We start from the raw sequence: 21798 nt of genomic DNA, 5'->3' as shown, positions 1-21798 counted from the left end.
ACAGTATATCTAAATGAGTTTTTTCTTATTGGAAGAGATGGATTATCAGTAAACCCTATGAATGTAAACTTTGAAGAAAATAGGCTTTTAAAAGATGAGTAATTACTTTTTTTGTTCTGTATATTAGGATCTTTTTAGTAAATAATCCAAGATCATACCTGTTAGCCTCTTTCATAATTAGCATGAAATTCACTGCCTTTTAAAGTTTATTTTAATATGTCCTTGTGATTTAATTATTCTTTGATATAGTAGTAATGTGATATTGCTTCTATTAAGCCTATATTTTTCTGTTCATTTCTGCCTGATTTTTTGGGGGAAAATTTTTTTCTTTTTTTCTGACAGAATTTAAGGTAGGAAACTTGAGAGGGAAGGGGAAATTGTTTTTATTTCCAAACCATTTGAGCTATATATGCCAGGTACTCTTTTCCACTTGAGCTTTATGTGGAAACTATCTAAAACTCATTTATCAGCCGGATGCAGTAGCTCATGCCTGTAATCCTAGCACTTTGGAAGGCTGAGGTGGGTGGATTGCTTGAGCTCAAGAGTTTGAGACCAGCCTGGCCAACATGGCGCGACCCTGTCACTACTAAAAATATGAAAACAAATTAGCCAGGTGTGATGGTGTATGCCTGTAGTCCCAGCTGCTAGGGAGGCTGAGGCACTAGATTTGCTTTAACTCGGGAGGTGGAGGTTGCAGTGAGCCAAGATCGTGTCGGTCCACTCCAGCCTGGACGACAGAGTGAGACACTGTCTCCACCGCCCCCCCAAAAAAATAGCAACACAAAAACTTATTATTACTGTGCTTCTAAAAGTCACTACGTTAATTTGAATATATTCACAGTATTTACAGAAAGCAAACAGGTAGCAGAAAACAGTTTTCATTTTTTATTTTCCCATTTTTTTTTAATAGAGAAGAAGTTCGTGCCCCAATTCCTCAAAAGCAGGAAATACTGGTGGAACCAGAACCATTATTTGGTGGTAAGTTCACTTTTTTCCCTTAGCCTTATTTGATTTTGTTCTTTAGGATTTTAATGAAACCATCAAAAGATGTGAAGGCTTGCTAGGAGACTGTTAGAAGTGTGGTGTCATTTCTTATTTTTTCTATAGTCCTGTCAAGAAAGTTGCACAGTTGACTCACAAAGAGTGAAGCAGATGTTAAAAATTGATATTTGTTGGAAAATGCCAAAAGGAGGGACGTTAGCAAAAAGAATTACTGCCTTGTAATGGGAATGAATAATGAAAAGATTCTGATTATTTTTATTTTCTGGATACCTACTTGACTGCCATATCCTTACTCTCTAGATATGCCTTACCTTCTCTCTTAGTTTGTAGAAGTGCTGTTCCTCATGTGGATGAAGGGCACAGTAACCCCTCATTCATGTGAAAAATTGTGATATGAATCTGGATAGAGACTGGCGATAGAGAATGGGACATTTAATCAGATTAATTTATCGTTAAGCATTTATTTCCCTTTTGTAAGCCAAAGAGTTTGTGTTAATCATGAGTTTATATAGAAAAAAATACAAGATGGAATTACAATCTGCTTGGGCAGACCAAGACAGAAAACTGTATATAGTATATATTGAGAACAGTTAATGCAGAGAAATACTTTGTGTTGAGGTGGCTCACACCTGTAATCCCAACACTTTGGGAGGCTGAGGTGGGCAGATCACTCGAGGCCGGGAGTTCAAGACCAGCCTAGCCAACATGTCAAAATCCCATCTCTACTAAAAGTACAAAAATTAGCTAGGCATGGCAGCACATGCCTGTAATCCCAGCTACTTAGGAGGCTGAGGCATGAGAATTGCTTAAACCGGGAGGCTGAGGTTGCAGTGAGCCGAGATACTGCCACTGCACTCCAGTCTGGGCAGCAGAGTAAGACTCTCTCTCAAAATAAATAAATAAATACAATTGAGTACAAGAGACATACAAATTTTTTTCCCTCCAACTTTTATTTTAGGTTTGGGGTACATGTGCAGGTTTGTTACATGGGTAAATTGCATGTTGCGTGGGTTTGGTGTACAGATTATCACCTAGGTAATGAGCGTAGTACCCAATAGGTAGTTTTTCTTCTCTTCTCTTCTCTTCTCTTCTCTTCTCTTCTCTCTTCTCTTTTCTTTTCTTTCTTTCCTTTCTTTACTTTTTTTTTTTTTTTTTTTTTAAAATAGAGATGGAGTCTTGCTATGTTGCCCAGGCTGGTCCCAAACTCCTGGGCTCAAGCGATCCTCTGGCCTCAACCTCCCAAAGTGCTGGGATTACGGGAGCGAGCCACCACGCCTGGCTTATAGGTATTTTTTTCAATCCTCGCCCTCCACCCTCAACCAGGCCCTGGTGTCTGTTCCCTTCTTTGTGTCTGTTTGTACTCAGCTCTCTCTTATGAGAACGTCCGGTATTTGGCTTTCTGTTCCTGCATTAATTCACTTAGGATAATACATACATAGCCTTCATCGGTAAACTAAGAGGAGGAAATATACGTTGTAACAAAAGGATGAATAAAATTATATGTATGTCTTTTGATAAAGTACTTTAGTTGAGAGTTTTTATGAGATAAACCTTTTTATTTATTTTTTTAATTTTTATTTTTTGTATATATGTGTATATATATATATGTGTGTGTGTGTGTGTGTGTGTATATATATATATATATATATATATTTTTTTTTTTTTTTTTTTTTTTTTTTGGAGAGACGGGGTTTCTCCATGTTAGTCAGGCTGATCTTGAACTCCCGAGCTCAGGTGAGCCGCCCGCCTCGGCCTCCCAAAGTGCTGGGATTACAGGCATGAGCCACCATACCCGGCCGAGATAAATGTTTTTAACTTGGCAGCTTTGGTGTTTATTATAGCAAGAAACAAAAGAATATACTGTCTAGATTTGGAAATAAAAGGCAAGAGGAAAGCTGTAAAGTCTGAATACTGTAGTGTAATGAAGTGCTTTCTGGACTGCTCACTGCAGATAGTCATTATGCTGTTAATATACCATATTGCTCATAATTTTAAAAATATAAATGCTAGGAATAGATTTGGAGCAAAAGAGTAATGCCCTTGGAAGCTTTATCTTCTCTTTATTGCAAGGAATAATACAGCGTCTTTGTAGGACTATAGGAAGTAAATTCTGTGCTGTATTGCTTTTGAACAGAGGCAGAAGAATTCCATTTGGAAGCCCCACTTTACTCTTTTTTTTTTCTTTTGTTTTGCAGAAATGGAGTCTGTTGCCCAGGCTGGAGTGCAGTGATACAATCCTTGCTTACTGCAGTCTCAAACTCCTGGGCTCAAGGATTCCTCCCACCTCAGCCTTCTATAGGTGCATGCCACCACGCCTGGCTAATTGTTTTGTTTTGTGGAGACAGGGCATTGCTGTTTGCCCTGGCTGCTATGGAACTGATCTCAAGCAAGCTTCCTGCCTGCCTTGGCCTTGGCCTTGGCCCATATTGGAGTTACGGGCGTGAGCCACCACACCTGGCCGCTTTCTTCCTTTTTTTATCTCTGAATTGGTGTACAGTAAGGACGACACTGAGAATGACTTTTTACAGTTAGGAAGTCATTCTTACCTTTCATTATTAGACGTTATAACTTGAAATGGGTCTTTAGAAACTATTTTCTTAAGACAGTATTGATTTAAATCACAGTTCAGGTGTGGGCTCAGGTCCCTAATATTCCCTTTCAGGTTGTCTGTAAAGTTAAAACAACTTACGTAATAATACTAAGGGTTTTTTTTTTTTCCCAAGATGGGGTCTTGCTGTGTTGCCCCAGGCTGGAGTGCAGTGGTTGCTCACAGGCGTGATCCCACTAGTGATCAGCACAGGAGTTTTGACCTCTGTTTCCAACCTGGGCCAGTTCACCCCTCCTTAGGTAACCTGGTGGTCCCCCTACTTCCGGGAGGTAATTATATTGATGTCGAGCTTAGTGTAGACACCTGACTGGCATAGCACACTACAGGCCAGAACTCTTAGGCTCAGGTGATCTTCTTATCTCAGCCTCCTAAGTAGCTGGGATTATAGGCATGCACCATTATACTGGACATCAAATTATTTTCATTGTGGTGACATTTAGACTGATAGTTCAGAAACAATGATGAGTCAGACTGCTGGCATCTTGGTTGAATTCATGTGGTGGCTTCAGGCTGTATCACTAGATAGTGAATTCTTCACTGCTGCATATTTGAAGTTTACAAAAAAAATCTAAAAGGCAGGGCCAGGTGCAGTGGCTCATGCTTGTAATCCCAGTCCTTTGGGAGGCCACAGTTGAACAGATCACTTGCAACCAGGAGTTGGAGAGTAGCCCAGACAACATAGGAAGACTCTTATCTCTACAAAAAATAAAAATAAATTCGTTAGGCATGGTGGCACGTGCCTGTAGTCCTAGTTACTTGGGAGTCTGAGGTGGGAGGATCGCTTGAGCTTGGGAGTTCTAGGCTGCAGTGAACTATGATCATGCCACTGCACTGCAGCCTGTATAACAGAGTGAGGCCCTGTCTATAAAAGAAACATAAATAGGACAGTTGCAGTGGCTTACACCTGTAATCTCAACACTTTGGGAGGCTGAGGCGGGAGGATTGCTTGAGCCCAGGAGTTTGAGACCAGCCTGGGCAACGTATTGAGACCCCAACTCAAAAAAAAATAATAAATTAATTTAAAAGCAGTTTTCTTTAATAATGTTCTTGATGAAGCAATAAAAATGATTAATTTCATTAAATCCTGATCCTTGAGTACACAGTTTTAAAATATTGTTTGAAATAGGATGTATGCACAAAGCACTTTGGCATAATGAAGTACTATGATTACCTTAAGGAAAAGCACTTGTGTGATTGTTAGAGTAGCGAGCTGAAGTAGGCAGCTTTTTTCATGGAACATTCTTTTTACTTGAAAAATCGCTGACAGACTATCAGTTTACACTTTGACAGTTGGCATTTTCTTGAAAATGTGAGCTTGTTACTTCAATACAACTGAGAGTGTTTGTTATCAGTGATTTTAAAAAAGAGGTTTGGCCGGACGTGGTGACTCACACCTGTAATCCGAACACTTTGGGATTACTTTCGGAGGCTGAGGCGGGAGGATTGTTTGAGCCTGGGAGTTCCACACCAGCCTGGGCTACATAGGGAGACCCCCATCTCTACAAAAAATTAAGAAAAAAATGAGCTGGGTGTGGTGGCACATGCCTGTAGTCCCAGCTACTCAGGAGGCCGAGGGGTGAGAAGATGGATTGAGCCTGGGAGGTCAAGGCATGAGCCATGATTGCACCACTGCACTTCAGCCTACTGATGACAGACCTCATCTCAAAAACAATGATAAATTACAAAAGAGCTTTCAGGCAAAAAACAGGATTTTAGAAAATTTTTTGTACCCACCTTTGTGAGCTTGATACTTTCCCAGTACTTGAAGGCTTTCTGATAAGATCAGTGGTGACATGAAACAGATGATTTTTAAAATACTGTGTAATGAAACCATTAATATTTGAAATGTTTGCATTACTCAGTAAACAAGTATTTTTGAATAACCAATGCATGATACTACAAAATTGTGCATAGGTAAAAGATCCATTCAGACTGCGAGATGAATTGTATTAGATATTTATTGCTGAGTGAAAAATTGTTCCAAAATTAAACTGCCTGAAAAAAACAAACGTTTGTTATCTCAGTTTCTTTGGGTCAGCAATCTGGGTGTGGCCTTTGGTTAGGGTCTCCTACAAAGGTGTGGTCAACATGTCAGCTAGGCTACCATTCATCTCAAAGCCTGAATGGAGGAGGATCTCCTAAACTCATTCATGTGGCTATTGCCTGGGGGCATCCATTCTTAACACAGAGCAAATGAGAGAGCCAGAGAGGGCAGCCCAAAACGGAAGCCACTGTCTTTTTGTAACGTAATCTGGAAGTGAAATCCCATCATGTCTGCCACATTCTGTTCAATCCTGCCTGTACTCAAGGTATTCACCCACAGGTTATCAATACTGGGAGACAGGGAAAATTGGGGGCTGTCTTAGACACTGCCTACCACATAGTACAGTGGGTTTTAATGAAACAGTATGAAAAACTCATTGATAAGATTTCAGATTCCACTTTGCAGCTGTCCTCTAAGAAACTACCATTGGTTAAGTATTGGTGTACTGTTAAAGAGGAATATCCACAATCATCTAAGACTTTAAAACACTCCTCCCTGCTGGGTATGGTGGCACAGACATGTAGTCTCAGCTACTCTGGAGGCTGAGGCGGGAGTATGGCTTGAGCCCCAGGAGTTCTTGGCTGTAGGGCCCTATGCTGATTGGGTGTCTGCACTAAGTTCGGAATCAATATGGTGACCTGCCAGCAGTGGAGGACACCAGATGACCTAAGGAAGAGGAAACGGAGCAGGTGCAGATCAGTAGTGGGATTGTGCCTGTGAATAGCCACTGCCCTTCAGCCTGGGCAACATAGTGAGACCCCCATCTTTTAAAACAAAAAGCCCACTACTCCCTTTTACAACTGCGTGTCTGCGTGAGAGTAAATTTTAGTTTTCTTTCTATACTTGAACTAAAAGAATAGCAGCAGATCTAAAGGAATGCAGAAGCAGATCTGAAGATCCAGATGTCTTCTCTGAAGCCAAATACGAACAGATATGTGGACATGTAAAACAGTGCCACTCTTCTCACTACATTTTTTCTCCACCTGTCCCTCCCCTATGCTGACTTTGAAGCTCCTGAATTTCTTTTAGCTCTTTATAGCTTAGTCTCTTTGGCTTCAGTGACCAGTACTTCTATTATGTGGGCAGTAGAGTGAGGACAGAGGACTGATGTTTCCTTGTGGCAGACGGCTTGGAAGAGCCAGGAGACCACATTGAAAAGGCAGGTAGCAGTAATAGTCTTAGGGCTAGAGGTGGTGTGGTCTGAGGAGAGGTTTTTGCTTAGAAATAGGGTAAACGAAGGGAAGACAAATGGGAAGAGGGTTATTAGCCCAAGAAGTAAAAGGAATTGGGTAGAAGGATAGCAATAAGAGGAACTAGTGAGTATACGGAGATCAGTCCCTTATAGAGAAGGGGGAGGTTGGAAAGGTGATGTGGAATATTGACTAACCTATCTTTGGCAGTTTAAAAGTAGAAGAAAATTACCTTTTATGTGCTACCTTCCTAAAATAATATACTTTCTTAGGCAGCTATTCTTATTCTAAGACATCCTTGGTTTTTATTTTTTATTTTTTTTGAGATGGAGTCTCGCTCTGTGGCCCAGGCTGGAGTGCAGTGGTGCGATCTCAGCTCACTGCAAGCTCCACCTCCTGGGTTCACGCTGTTCTCCTGCCTCAGCCTCCCGAGTAGCTGGGACTACAGGTACCCGCCACCACGCCTGACTAATTTTTTCTATTTTTTAGTAGAGATGGGGTTTCACCGTGTTAGCCAGTATGGTCTCAATCTCCCGACCTCGTGATCCACCCACCTCGGTCTCCCAAAGTGCTGGGATTACAGGCGTGAGCTACCATGCCCAGCCTCCAGCCAGTTTCTTAATTGTTACAGTTAAAAAGTTTCAGATATCTAGTTATTTTTAAAAAGTTAATTTTTTTTTTTTTTTTTTAAGAGACAGGGTGTCAGTATGTTGCACAGACTGTACTCGAACTCCTTGGCTCAAGCGATCCTCTCACATCAGCCACCTGGGCAGCTGGGACTATAGGCGCACATCACTGCACCAGGGCCAGATAACTAGTTTTAGAGGCATTCTTTGGCAGGCTATATTATTCCTGCTAGAGGCCATGTACATTTGAAATAGGAGCTCTTGATCAAAAATAGTTCTAAGATTGAAAAGTATGACATTTCTTGCTTTTTCTTGAATAGAAATGAAGAAAGGAGGGAGGGAGGAAGGTAGAGAGCGACACAGGGTGCAATATTTAAATTAAAAATAAAATTCAGGCCAGGCTCAGTAGCTCACTCCTGTAATTCCAGCACTTTTGGTAGCCGAGGCGGGTGGATCACTTGAGGTCAGGAGTTTGAGACCAGCCTGGCCAACATGGTGAAACCCCCTCCCTACTAAAAATACAAAAATTGGCTGGGCGTGGTGGCACATGCCTGTTGTCCCACGTACTAGGGAGGCTGAGGCAGGAGAATGCCTTGAACCTGGGAGGCGGAGGTCACAGTGAGCTGAGATCATGCCACTGCACTCCAGCCTGGGCAACAGAGTGAGACTCTGTCGCAATAAATAAATAAATTAATTAATTCAGGCTGGGCATGGTGGCTGGTGCCTGTAATCCCAGCACTTTGGGAGGATGAGATGGGAGGATTCCTTGAGCCCAGGAGTTCCAAACTAGCCTGGGCGATATAGTGACATGCCCGTCTCTTAAAAAAACAAACAAACAAACAAACAAAAAAACTGAACATGGTGCTGCACACTTGTAGTCCCAGCTGCTTGGGAGGCTAAGGCAGGAGGATGGCTTGAGCCTAGGAGGATGGAGTCTGCAGTGAGCCATGATCACACCACTGCACTCCAGCTGGGCAACAGAGTGAGACACTGTCTCAAAAAAAAATAAAATAAAACATGACAGTGTATTACAAAATCTCTTTTCCCAGAGATGATAGTGTGATTGTTTAACATAAAAACATACACATATACACAGGAATGATATGCATATGAATATATGTTTTAAACAAAAATGAAGTTTTTAATATGTTGTGCATTTTTTTGTTGCTTTGTTTTGCCTTTTACTCGGTAGTTCTGGATATAAAGAATTATCCTATGTAATCACAAACACGAGTTATTGGGAAAGATGTTTTGACACGCGTTAAGGGGATTCTGTAGTCTCTGTCTAATCTTGATACTAATCATTTATTAACAGATAATTATTCTGGTTACATGCTGGCCAGCCTTGCCATAAGCCAACTTAGTTACTTACCCATATTGAGGGAATCATGAAAAGCCTTTATTTATTGTAATGTACATAAATGATCTGGTAATTTGTTTAGGTTTAAGAACACATAGATATAGGAAGATAACATTTTGATTCTAGCATTCTACACCTTATCTGTAAAATACTTAAAGACTGGGTAATAGACACTCTACAGGGGTAGTGGAATACCTTAGGTGGATCTGTTTACTTTTCTGTCATTAAACCATTGTGTAACTGTGAAAAAAGTTTCCAGAATTAAAGATGTTTTTTGTCTTTATGGTTCTGCACGTGGGTCCAATCCAATCCCTAAGAAATAGTCCTTAAGTCTTATGGTTTAGAATGTAGAGTTACTCTATACAACAGGGCTAACCTGAATTGGATATCTGCAGCATGTGTGTGGCTTCATCTCTACGTGGCATCATCCTCAAAATCTTCTTTCTTCCTGATATCACCACTTGGATATTAAGATAGTAAACTTTTTTTTTTTTTTGAGACGGAGTTTCACTCTTCTTGCCCAGGCTGGAGTGCAGTGGCGTGATCTTGGCTCGCTGCAACCTCCACCTCCCAGGTTCAAGTGATTCTCCTGCCTCAGCTTCCCAAGTAGCTAGGATTACAGGTGCGTGCCACCACACCTGGCTAGTTTTTTTGTATTTTTATTAGAGACAGGGTTTCATTATGTTAATCAGGCTGGTCTTGAACTCGACTTCAGGTGATCCACCTGCCTTGGCTTCCCAAAATGCTGGGATTACAGGAGGTGTGAGCTACAGTGCCTGGCCAGGATAGTAAACTTTTTTTTTTTTTTTTTTTGAGATGGAGTTTCGCTCTTGTTGCCCAGGCTGGAGTGCAATGGCAGTCTTGGCTTACTGCAACCTCTGTCTCCTAGGTTCAAGTGATTCTCCTGCCTCAGCCTCCCAAGTAGCTGGGATTACAGGCATGCACCATCACGCCTGGCTAATTTTTTGTATTTAGTAGAGACAGGGGCTCACCATGTTGGTCAGGCTGGTCTCAAACTCCTGACCTCAGGTGATCCACCCACCTTGGCCTCCCAAAGTGCTGGGATTACAGGCATGAGCCACCATGCCCAGCCGATAGTAAACTTTTTACACAAGTTTGATTAAGTCTATTGTAACTGGGCCTGAATTTTCTCATTTGTAATACAAGATGACTGGATGGAAGATGTTTGGATTAATTATACATGAATGATTTGAAAGTTTTTAAACTTTTTTATTTTTTGAGGGAAGGCACCATATGAATCTTGAGTGTTTTAAAACAAGAAATACTGTGCTCGCTGCGGCAGCACATTTACTAAAATTGGAACGAGACAGAGATTAGCACGGCCCCTGTGCAAGGGTGACATGCAGTTCGTGAAGGGTTTCATATGTTTTATTAAAAAAATACTTTTAGATAAGGACATTTTTAGAATTGTTTCAAAATTAATTTAAAAAATTTTCAATTCTATTTTTTCTCCCCAAAGCTCCTAAAAGACGACGGCCTGCACGTTCAATTTTTGATGGTTTCCGGGATTTTCAGACTGAAACTAGTAGGTATCTATGGACCAGTTTATCATCTCCCTCTTCTCTTCCTATTAAAAAGACAAAGATGATTACTATTAGGCCCAATTACTTTTAAGTTTTCACCTTCTTTAAAAAGTGAAATTATGGATCCAGAATGTGATTAATTCTCCCCTGAGCTAAATTGTTCCAAATTCTAACCTATTTGGTTATAGAAAAATAGTAAAGGAGATGGAGATAATGTAGGAAATATGGTAATTGATAAACTTAATTCGCTTGTGAATAAACACTTAAAATGCTTACTATAATAAAATAAACTGATTTCCCTCAGGATCCTGACTTCTGTCAATGAAAGGAATATATAATGAAAATGGTTATTATAAGAGATTGAAAAATAGGAGGAAAAGCCATGCCACCCAAAGCAGCCACTATTAATATTTTGGCTACAGTTATTTGAAATATTTTTGTGTAATAAATTAGAATGAGAATCTTGGTCTTATGCTTTTAGAGGATTTAGTATTGATTTAGCAATGGAATCCTAAAGAAAGGACAGTTAGGTTAGGATATATGAGAAACCCTTGGACCATGCTTGATTTTGTAGTTTATTTAGAATGAGTTCATTGAGGCACAGATAGGTCTTGTGACTTTGGAGAGAATTGATGGGGAACCTAAACTGACTCAAGTCATCTAGGGAATCCTGTGTCCTTCCAGTGGAAGGTGACAACAGTGGTCATCATCTCTACTGTCATAATCTTTTTTTTATTATTACTATTTATTTTTGAGATGGAGTCTCGCTCTGTCACCCAGGCTGGAGTGCAGTGGCATGATCTCAGCTTACTGCAACCTTCACCTCTCAGGTTCAAACGATTCTCCTGCCTCAGCCTCCCAAGTAGCTGGGACTACAGGCTTGTGCCACCACACCCGGCTAAGTTTTGTATTTTTAGTAGAGATGAGGTTTCACCATGTTGCCCAGGCTGGCCTTGAACTCCTGACCTCAGGTGATCCGCACATCTCAGCCTCCCATAGTGCTGGGACTACAGGCATGCGCCACTACACCTGGCTAATTTTTTTTTTTTGAGATGGAGTCTCACACTCTGTTGCCCAGGCTGGAGTGCAGTGGCGCGATCTCTGCTCACTGCAACCTCTGCCTCCAGGGTTCAGGCTATTCTCCTGCCTCAGCCTCCCGAGTAGCTGGGATTACAGGCATGCTCCACCATGCCCGGCTTTTTTTTTTTGTATTTTTAGTTGAAACGGGGTTTCACCATCTTGGCCAGGCTGATCTCAAACTCCTGACCTCAGGTGATCTGCTGACCTCGGCCATCCAAAGTTCTAGAATTATAGACATGAGCCACCGCACTCAGCCTCTCCCATGTTACAGTTAGTTTCTGAATATGTGAAGAGGTTACTTTGATTAAGTGAATATTTTCAGTTAATTTTCTTTGTATCCTTGGGATAGGGAATACCACCAAGTCTTAAGATTCCTCTTATCTCCCTTTGCATTTTTTTTTTTCAGAGTCAACATTAGATCTTTGTATTTGAGGTCAAGCATATTGACAGCAATTCCTTCAATTGACAGAAGTTTGTGTTTTTTTTTTTTTTTTTTTCAGTGTGATTCATGATTATGGCTAACTGAAACTTTCATCCTTCTGTATTATAGTTCGGCAAGAACAAGAATTAAGAAATGGAGGAGCTATCGATAAGAAATTAACTACCCTTGCAGATCTATTCCGGCCACCCATTGATTTGATGCATAAAGGCAGCTTTGAAACAGTAAGTTGTTGGAGAGTCAGTGCCTTAACTATGAATCCTTTTGCATTTTCAATGCCTTTTTTTAAAAAATTACTTGTTTTAGAGCAGGTCTCGCTCTGTCGTCCAGGCTGGACTGCAGTGACACAATCATAGCTCACTGCAGCCTTGAACTCTTGGGCTCAAGGGATCCTCCTACCTCAGCTTCCCGAGTAGCTAGGGCTATAGGCATGTGCCACCACACTCAGCTAATTAAAAAAATTTTTTTGGTAGAGACAGGGTCTCACTGTGTCGCCCAGGCTGGTCTCGAATGCCTAGGTTCAAGCAATCCTCTTGCCTCAGCCTCCCAAACTGCTTGGATTATAGGTGTGAGCCACTGCACCTGGCCTTCAGTGGCATTTTTTATTTTTATAAGAACAAAAAACCATTGTCAGTGTATAGGGAATTGGCATTATAATAAGTATATCTACATGATATGCCTAAAGGTTACATTGATTTATATTTCTACCAGCAATATATGAAATATATTTCTACCAGCAGTATATGAGATTGATGAAATCCTTTTATTAGCCTTGTGCGGTGTCATTTTAGAATCTTTGCCATTTTGATAGCTTTTTAAAATATCTCACTTGTTCATATATCTTTGACTACTACTGAGAATAGTGTGTGTGGTTTGTTAGCCATTTGTAAATTGTTGATAGGTGTCTTTTGTCTATATTTCTGTGCGGATCGTAATGTGTTTGAAAAGAATATCTCTAATTGGAGAACACATTCACCCTCAGTTCTTCTTGGTTTTATCGTGACTAAACCCAAACAAAAACTTTCCAGAGTATGTTTACTTGGTTGTATGCTAACTTACAGACTTACTTAGGGCAGAGGAAAGATCATTCTTTTTAATAATCCTTGGGACCCATTCTCTTGCATTAGGAGGAACACATATGTTAAATGAAGGAGTTTAGTAAAGATTTTAGATACTCTTCTGTTGAGGTGTTCAAACAGCTTGCCTTTTCGTGTTGATTAACATGTTAATGCTCTTTTGAATTACAATAGCATTTCCATAGATGTAAATCAGTTACATTTCAGTTGAGTCTTTTTTTTTTTTTTTTCCTTGAGATGGAGTCTCGCCGGAGTGCAGTGGCACGATCTCAGCTCACTGCAACCTCCGCCTCCCAGGTTCAAGTAATTCTCCTGCCTCAGCCTCCTGAGTAGCTGGGAAAACAGGTGCGCACCACCACGCCTGGCTAATTTTTTGTATTTTTAGTAGAGACGGGGTTTCACCATATTGGCCAGGCTGGTCTCAAACTCCTGACCTCATGATCTGCCCACCTCAGCCTCCCACAGTGCTGGGATTACAGGCGTGAGCCACCGCGCCCAGCCTTCAGTTAAGTCTTACCTGTTAGGACCCTGTAGGCCAAAGAATAACTGCAAGAATGATGTGTATCAAGCCCAACAGGTGCCCCAAACTAACTACTACTTGGGAGGCTGAGGTGGGAGGATCCCTTGAGTTCAGGAGTTTGAGGCTGTGGTGTGTGATGATCATGCCTATGAAAACCACTGCACTCCAGCCTGGGCAACATAGTGAGACCCTATCTTTCCCTTTTCTTTGTCTTTTTTTTTTGAGACAGGTTCTCATTCTGTCACCTGGGATGGAGTGCAGTGGCAAAATCATGGCTCACTGCAGCCTCCAACTTATGGTCTCAATTGATCCCCTGGTCTTAACCTCCCAAATAAGTAGGGCTACAGACACCCACTACCACACCTGGCCAATTTTAAAAATATTTTGTGGAGAGGGGGTCTTGCTGTGTTCCCCAGGCTGGTCTCAAATTCCTGGTGTCAAGTGATCCTTCTGCCTTGGTTCCCAAAGTGCTGGGATTACAGGCATGAGCTGAAACCCCATTTCTTAAAATAAACAACCGATGTATATCAGCTGCATATTTGAATATGTTATGATTATTTTTTTTTAAATGTGTCCTTTGATATACTTTTACACTGTCATACATGAAGTATTTAGGAGAAGGAATTTCAATGTAAGCTTGTGTGTTAGTTTGCTTGCATTGCTAGAAAGGAATCCCTGAGACTGGGCAATTTATAAAGAAAAAGGTATATTTTGACTCAACGTTTCTACAGGCTGTATAGAAAGCATTGTGCTGACATCTGCTTCTGGTGAGGCCTCAGGAAGCTTGCAGTCATGGCAGAAGGCAAAGGGGAAGCCGGTGTAGCACATGGTGCGAGGAGCAAGGGGTCAAGCCATTCACTAGGGGTCTGCCCCCATGACCCAAACACCACCTACGAGGCCCCACCCCCAACACTGGGGATTACATTTCAGTGTGAGATTTGGAGGGGACAAATTTCCAAACCATATCAGCGTGCTCTCCAGTTTCAATTTTCTGAATCAGAAAACCTTGAAAGTGGTTTGGCTGCATGTAACAGAAAACCCAAATGATGATAATTTGACCAAACAATGCTTTCTTTTTGTCAGTAATAAGCCTAGAGTTGAAGAAATTATTGCTGTTCATTCATAAGCTCAAAGATGTCAGGTTAGATGTCTCCTCAGTTTTCTTCATCTTTCCTTCATGGTCTCAACATGGCAGCTGCCTATCCTTTCTAGTATTCTGGTGATACTACAGCCATTGAGAGAGAGAATAGCAGCAATATTAAAGGCAGAAAAGGATCTTAGTTTGTTTTGGCACGTGTTCTATTTTTATTAGCTTATGAGTTGCTCTAGGACGTAATGCAGTAACTAAGCTTGATTTAGTTTGGTCACTTTGGAGTGAAAAAGCAGTTACTTTTCTGCTTGGTCATTAAGGGAAAATACGAATCTCTTTTGATGTTGTCCCCTGAAATTTAAGTTATATCACCTTTTTTGCCTTGTATTTCATGGCCTGTGTTTACAGCAGTCCATTTTTTTTTTCACTGATAATATTATACTTAACCATCTGCAAGACTTTAAATGAAATAAATATTCCCTTCCAAAAGCAGGTATTTCATTATGGTTAATGATACATGTATTAGTTTTATAACAATTAGGGAGATAACAAGCAAAATTAAGTCATTGAAGTTTAGAAAGATAAATGTTAAAAATTAGAGGGATACTCTTTGGCTGACCAAGGAGGGCCCATAGGTTTGTTCCTCATATTAGATGTAAATGTGAGCCACAGTTTTACAGGCTTAGAAGCTAGTGTAACTAGAGGTAGGTCATGTTCAAGGATTCTTTCTGGCTCATGCTAACCAGATGAGAGAGACTGATTAATTCACTTGTTCACTCAATACATATTTATTGAGGCCTTGTGTTGCAGGACCTAGTTCTAGGTGATCAAGAGTAAGGGTTTGACTGCATGTGAGAGAGACTGGAAAAAAAAAAAACAAACAGTAGCTTATTTATTTCTTTTATTATACTTTAAGTTCTAGGGTACATGCGCATAACATGCAGGTTTGATACATAGGTATACATGTGCCATGTTGGTTTGCTGCACCCATCAACTCATTTACATTAGGTATTTCTCCTAATGCTATCCCTCCCCCAGCCCCCCAGCCCCCCAGCCCCCGACAGGCCCCAGTGTGTGATGTTCCCTGCCCTGTATCCAAGTGATCTCATTGTTCAATACCCACCTGTGAGTGAGATCATGTGGTGTTTGGTTTTCTGTCCTTGTGATAGTTGGCTGAGAATGATGGTTTCCAGCTTCATCCATGTCCCTGCAAAGGACATGAACTCATCCTTTTTTATGGCTGCATAGTATTCCATGTTGTATATGTGCCACATTTTCTTAATGCAGTCTATCATTGATGGACATTTGGGTTGGTTCCAAGTCTTTGCTGTTGTGAATAGTGCTGCAATAAACATACGTGTGCATGTGTCTTTATAGCAGCATGATTTATAATCCTTTGGGTATATACCCAGTAATAGGATTGCTGGGTCAAATGGTAATTCTAGTTCTAGATCCTTGAGGAATCGCCACACTGTCTTCCACAATGGTTGAACTAATTTACACTCCCACCAACAGTGTAAAAGCGTCCCTATTTCTCTACATCCTCTCCAGCATCTGTTGTTTCCTGACTTTTTAATGATTGCCATTCTAACTGGCATGAGATGGTATCTCATTGTGGTTTTGATTTGTATTTCTCTGATGACCAGTGATGATGAGCATTTTTTCATGTGTCTGTTCGCTGCATAGATAGATGTCTTCTTTTGAGAAGTGTCTGTTCATATCCTTTGCCCACTTTTCGATGGGGTTGTTTGTTTTTTTCTTGTAAATTTGTTTGAGTTCTTTGTAGATTCTGGATATTAGCCTTTTGTCAGATGGGTAGATTGCAAAAATTTTTTCCCATTCTGTAGGTTGCCTGTTCACTCTAATGGTAGTTTCTTTTGCCATGCAGAAGCTCTTTAGTTTAATTAGATCCCATTTGTCTATTTTGGCTTTTGTTGCCATTGCTATTGGTGTTTTAGTTGTGAAGTCTTTGCCCATGCCTGTGTCCTGAATGGTATTGCCTAGGTTTTCTTCTAGGGTTTTTATGGTTTTAGGTCTAACATTTAAGTCTTTAATCCATCTTGAATTAATTTTTGTATAAGGTGTAAGGAAGGGATCCAGTTTCAGCTTTCTACCTATGGCTAGCCAGTTTTCCCAGCACCATTTATTAAATAGGGAATCCTTTCCCCATTTCTTGTTTTTGTCAGGTTTGTCAAAGATCAGATGGTTGTAGATGTGTGGTGTTATTTCTGAGGCCTCTGTTCTGTTCCATTGGTCTGTATATCTGTTTTGGTACCAGCACCATGCTGTTTTGGTTACTGTAGCCTTGTAGTATAGTTTGAAACAGATATAGTATATATTTGTTTCGGTACCAGTACCATGCTGTTTTGGTTACTGTAGCCTTGTAGTATAGTTTGAAGTCAGGTAGCATGATGCCTCCAGCTTTGTTCTTTTTGCTTAGGATTGTCTTGGCAATGTGGGCTCTTTTTAGGTTCCATACGAACTTTAAAGTAGTTTTTTCCAGTTCTGTGAAGAAAGTCGTTGGTAACTTCATGGGGTTGGCATTGAATCTAGAAATTACTTTGGGCAATATGGCCATTTTCAGGTATTGATTCTTCCTATCCATGAGCATGGAATGTTCTTCCATTTGTTTGTGTCCTCTTTTATTTCGTTGAGCAGTGGTTAGTAGTTCTCCTTAAAGAGGTCCTTCACATCCCTTGTAAGTTGGATTTCTAGGTATTTTATTCTCTTTGTAGCAATTGTGAATGGGAGTTCACTCATGATTTGGCTCTTTGTCTGTTAATGGTGTATAGGAATGCTTGTGATTTTTGCACATTGATTTTGTATCCTAAGACTTTGCTGAAGTTGCTTATCAGCTTAAGGAGGTTTTGGGCTGAGACGATGGGGTTTTCTAAATATACAATCATGTCATCTGCAAACAGGGACAATTTGACTTCCTCATTTCCTTTTTTTTTTTTTTTTTTTTTTTTTAGTGTTTATTAATCATTCTTGGGTGTTTCTCGGAGAGGGGGATGTGGCAGGGTCATAGGACAGTAGTGGAGGGAAGGTCAGCAGATAAACATGTGAACAAAGGTCTCTGGTTTTCCTACGCAGAGGGCCCTGCTGCCTTCCGCAGTGTTTGTGTCCCTGGGTACTTGAGATTAGGGAGTGGTGATGACGCTTAACGAGTATGCTGCCTTCAAGCATCTGTTTAACAAAGCACATCTTGCACCGCCCTTCATCCATTTAACCCTTAGTGGACACAGCACATGTTTCAGAGAGCATGGGGTTGGGGGTAAGGTCATAGATAAACAGCATCCCAAGGCAGAAGAATTTCTCTTAGTACAGAACAAAATGGAGTCTCCTATGTCCACCTCTTTCTACGCAGACACAGTAACAATCCGATCTCTCCTTCCTTTCCCTACATTTCCCCCCCTTCTATTCGACAAAACCACCATCGTCATCATGGCCCGTTCTCAATGAGCTATTGGGTACACCTCCCAGATGGGGTGGCGGCCGGGCAGAGGGGCTCCTCACTTCCCAGACGGGGCGGCCGGGCAGAGGCGCCCCCACCCCCCCCACTTCCCAGACGGGGCGGCTGGCCGGGTGGGGGCTGCCCCCCACCTCCCTGATGGGCGGCTGCCGGGCGTAGGGGCTCCTCACTTCCCAGACGGGGCGGCTGCTGGGCAGAGGGGCTCCTCACTTCTCAGAGGGGGCGGCCGGTCAGAGAGGCTCCTCACCTCCCAGAGTGGGTGGCGGCGGGGCAGAGACACTTCTCAGTTCCCAGACGGGGTCACTGCCGGGCCGAGGCGCTCTTCACATCTCAGATGGGGTGGCGGGGCAGAGGCACTCCCCACATCCCAGACGATGGGTGGCTGGGCAGAGACGCTCCTCACTTCCTAGATGGGATGACGGCCGGGCAGAGGCGCTCCTCACTTCCTAGACTGGGTGGCGGCCGGGCAGAGGCTGCAATCTCGGCACTTTGGGAGGCCAAGGCAGGCGGCTGGGAGGTGGAGGTTGTAGCGAGCCGAGATCACGCCACTGCACTTCAGCCTGGGCAACATTGAGCACTGACTGAGCGAGACTCCGTCTGCAATCCCGGCACCTCGGGAGGCCGAGGCTGGCAGATCACTCACGGTCAGGAGCTGGAGACCAGCCCGGCCAACACGGCGAAACCCCGTCTCCACCAAAAAATACGAAAACCAGTCAGGCGTGGTGGCGCGCGCCTGCAATCCCAGGCACTCGGCAGGCTGAGGCAGGAGAATCAGGCAGGGAGGTTGCAGTGAGTCGAGATGGCGGCAGTACAGTCCAGCCTCGGCTCAGCATCAGAGGGAGACCGTGCAAAGGGGAGAGGGAGAGGGAGAGCGACTTCCTCATTTCCTAATTGAATACCCTTTATTTATTTCTCTTGCCTGATTGCCCTGGCCAGAACTTCCAACAGTATGTTGAATAGGAGTGGTGAGAGAGGGCATCCTTGTCTTGTGCCGGTTTTCAAAGGGAATGCTTCCAGTTTTTGCCCATTCAGTATGGTATTGGCTGTGGGTTTGCCATAAATATCTCTTATTATTTTGAGATACGTTCCATCAATACCTAGTTTATTGAGAATTTTTAGCGTGAAGGGCTGTTGAATTTTGTTGAAGGTCTTTTCTGCATCTATTGAGATAATCATGTGGTTTTTGTCGTTGGTTCTGTTGATATGATGGATTATGTTTATTGATTTGCATATGTTGAACCAACCTTGCATCCCAGGGATGAAGCCGACTTGATCATGGTGGATAAGCTTTTTCATGTGCTGCTGGATTCGGTTTGCCAGTATTTTATTGAGGATTTTCGCATCAATGTTCATCAGGGATATTGGTCTAAAATTCTCCTTTTTTGTTGTGTCTCTGCCAGGCTTTGGTATCAGGATGATGTTGGCCTCATAAAATGAGTTAGGGAGGATTCCCTTTTTTTCTGTTGATTGGAATAGTTTCAGAAGGAATGGTACCAGCTCCTCTTTGTACCTCTGGTAGAATTTGGCTGTGAATCCGTCTGGTCCTGGACTTTTTTTGGTTGTTAGGCTGTTAATTATTGCCTCAATTTCAGAGCCTGTTATTGGTCTGTTCAGAGATTCAACTTCTTCCTGGTTTAGTCTTGGGAGGGTGTATGTGTCCAGGAATTTGCCCATTTCTTCTAGATTTTCTAGTTTATTTGCATAGAGGTGTTTATAGTATTCTCTGGTGGTAGTTTGTATTTCTGTGGGATCAGTGGTGATATCACCTTGATCATTTTTTATTGCGTCTATTTGATTCTTCTCTCTTTTCTTCTTTATTAGTCTTGCTAGTGGTCTATCAATTTTGTTGATCTTTTCAAAAAACCAGCTCTTGGATTCATTGATTTTTTGAAGGGTTTTTTATGTCTCTATCTCCTTCAGTTCTGCTCTGATCTTAGTTATTTCTTGCCTTCTGCTAGCTTTTGAATGTGTTTGCTCTTGCTTCTCTAGTTCTTTTAATTGTGATGTTAGGGTGTCAATTTTAGATCTTTCCTGCTTTCTCTTGTGGGCATTTAGTGCTATGAGTTTCCCTCTACACACTGCTTTAAGTGTGTCCCAGAGATTCTGTTACGTTGTGTCTTTGTTCTCATTGGTTTCAAAGAACATCATTATTTCTGCCTTCATTTCGTTATGTGCCCAGTAGTCATTCAGGAGCAGGTTGTTCAGTTTCCATGTAGTTGTGCAGTTTTGAATGAGTTTCTTAATCCTGAGTTCTAATTTGATTGCACTGTGGTCTGAGAGACAGTTTGTTGTGATTTCTGTTCTTTTGCATTTGCTGAGGAGTGCTTTACTTCCAACTATGTGGTCAGTTTTGGAATAAGTGTGATGTGGTGCTGAGAAGAAATGTATATTCTGTTGATTTGGGGTGGAGAGTTCTGTAGATGTCTATTAGGTCTGCTTGTTGCAGAGCTGAGTTCAGGTCCTGGATATCCTTGTTAACTTTCTGTCTCATTGATCTGTCTAATATTGACAGTGGGGTGTTAAATTCTCCCATTATTATTGTGTGGGAGTCTAAGTCTCTTCTCTGTAGGTCTCTAAGGACTTGCTTTTTGAATTTGGATGCATATATATTTAGGATAGTTAGCTCTTCTTGTTGAATTGACCCCTTTACCAATATGTAATGGCCTTCTTTGTCTCTTTTGATTTTTGTTGGTTTAAAGTCTGTTTTATCAGAGACTAGGATTGCAACCCCTGTGTTTTTTTCTTTTTCTTTTTTTTTTTTTGGAGATGGAGTCTTGCTTTGTGGCCCAGGCTGGAGTGCAGTGGTGCGATCTGGGCTCACTGCAAGCTCTGCCTCCTGGGTTCATGCCATTCTCCCACCTCAGCCTCTCGAGTAGCTGGGACTATAGGCGCCTGCCACCACGCCCAGCTAATTTTTTTGTATTTTTAGTAGAGACGGGGTTTCACCGTGTTAGCCAGGATGGTCTCGATCTCCTGACCTCGTGATCTGCCTGCCTTGGCCTCCCAAAGTGCTGGGATTACAGGCATGAGCCATTGTGCCCGGCCAACCCCTGCATTTTTTTTGCTTTCCATTTGCTTGGTAGATCTTCCTCCATCCCTTTATTTTGAGCCTATGTGTGTCTTTGCATGTGAGATGGGTCTCCTGAATACAGCACACTGATGGGTCTTAACTCTTTATCCAATTTGCCAGTCTGTGTCTTTTAATTGGGGCATTTAGCCCATTTACATTTAAGGTTAATATTATTGTGTGTGAATTTGATCCTGTCATTATGATGTTAGCTGGTTATTTTGCCCATTAGTTGATGCAGTTTCTTCCTAGCATCAATGGTCTTTACAATTTGGCATGTTTTTGCAGTGGCTGGCACCGGTTGTTTCTTTCCATGTTTAGTGCTTCCTTCAGGAGCTCTTGTAAGGCAGGCCTGGTGGTGACAAAATGTCTCAGCATTTTCTTGTCTGTAAAGTATTTTATTTCTCCTTCACTTATGAAGCTTAGTTTGGCTGGATATGAAATTCTGGGTTGAAAATTCTTTTCTTTAAGAATGTCGAATATTGGCCCCCACTCTTCTGGCTTGTAGGGTTTCTGCAGAGATATCTGCTGTTAGTCTGATGGGCTTCCCTTTGTGGGTAACTTGACCTTTCTCTCTGGCTGCCCTTAACACTTTTCCCTTCATTTCAACCTTGGTGAATCTGACAATTATGTGTCTTGGGGTTGCTTTTCTTGAGGAGTATCTTTGTGGTGTTCTCTGT

At 41.8% G+C, this 21798-nt stretch overlaps 1 protein-coding gene and 3 pseudogenes across 2 annotated transcripts in view; 3 read left to right on the top strand and 1 right to left on the bottom strand.

The window, feature by feature from the left end:
- The window catches only part of UBXN7 (UBX domain protein 7), an 84766-nt gene that overhangs the window by 28498 nt on the left and 34470 nt on the right, over positions 1-21798 (top strand). For both annotated transcript variants that reach the window (XM_011512671.3, NM_015562.2), the window contains 3 exons: positions 911-978; positions 10311-10376; positions 12005-12117. In XM_011512671.3, coding sequence (XP_011510973.1) covers positions 12094-12117 — 24 coding nt within the window. In that variant the 5' untranslated portion in view covers positions 911-978; positions 10311-10376; positions 12005-12093. The remainder of the gene's footprint in view (positions 1-910; positions 979-10310; positions 10377-12004; positions 12118-21798) is intronic.
- RN7SL738P (RNA, 7SL, cytoplasmic 738, pseudogene) lies at positions 3723-4019 on the bottom strand (annotated as a pseudogene).
- RN7SL434P (RNA, 7SL, cytoplasmic 434, pseudogene) lies at positions 6152-6422 on the top strand (annotated as a pseudogene).
- RNU6-1279P (RNA, U6 small nuclear 1279, pseudogene) lies at positions 10118-10220 on the top strand (annotated as a pseudogene).

The sequence above is a fragment of the Homo sapiens genome, chromosome 3 (assembly GCF_000001405.40).
Source record: "Homo sapiens chromosome 3, GRCh38.p14 Primary Assembly".
NCBI classification, from domain to species: domain Eukaryota; kingdom Metazoa; phylum Chordata; class Mammalia; order Primates; family Hominidae; genus Homo; species Homo sapiens.
The sequence above is the reverse complement of the archived record's forward strand: the minus strand, read 5'-3'. Positions and strand labels throughout refer to the sequence as shown.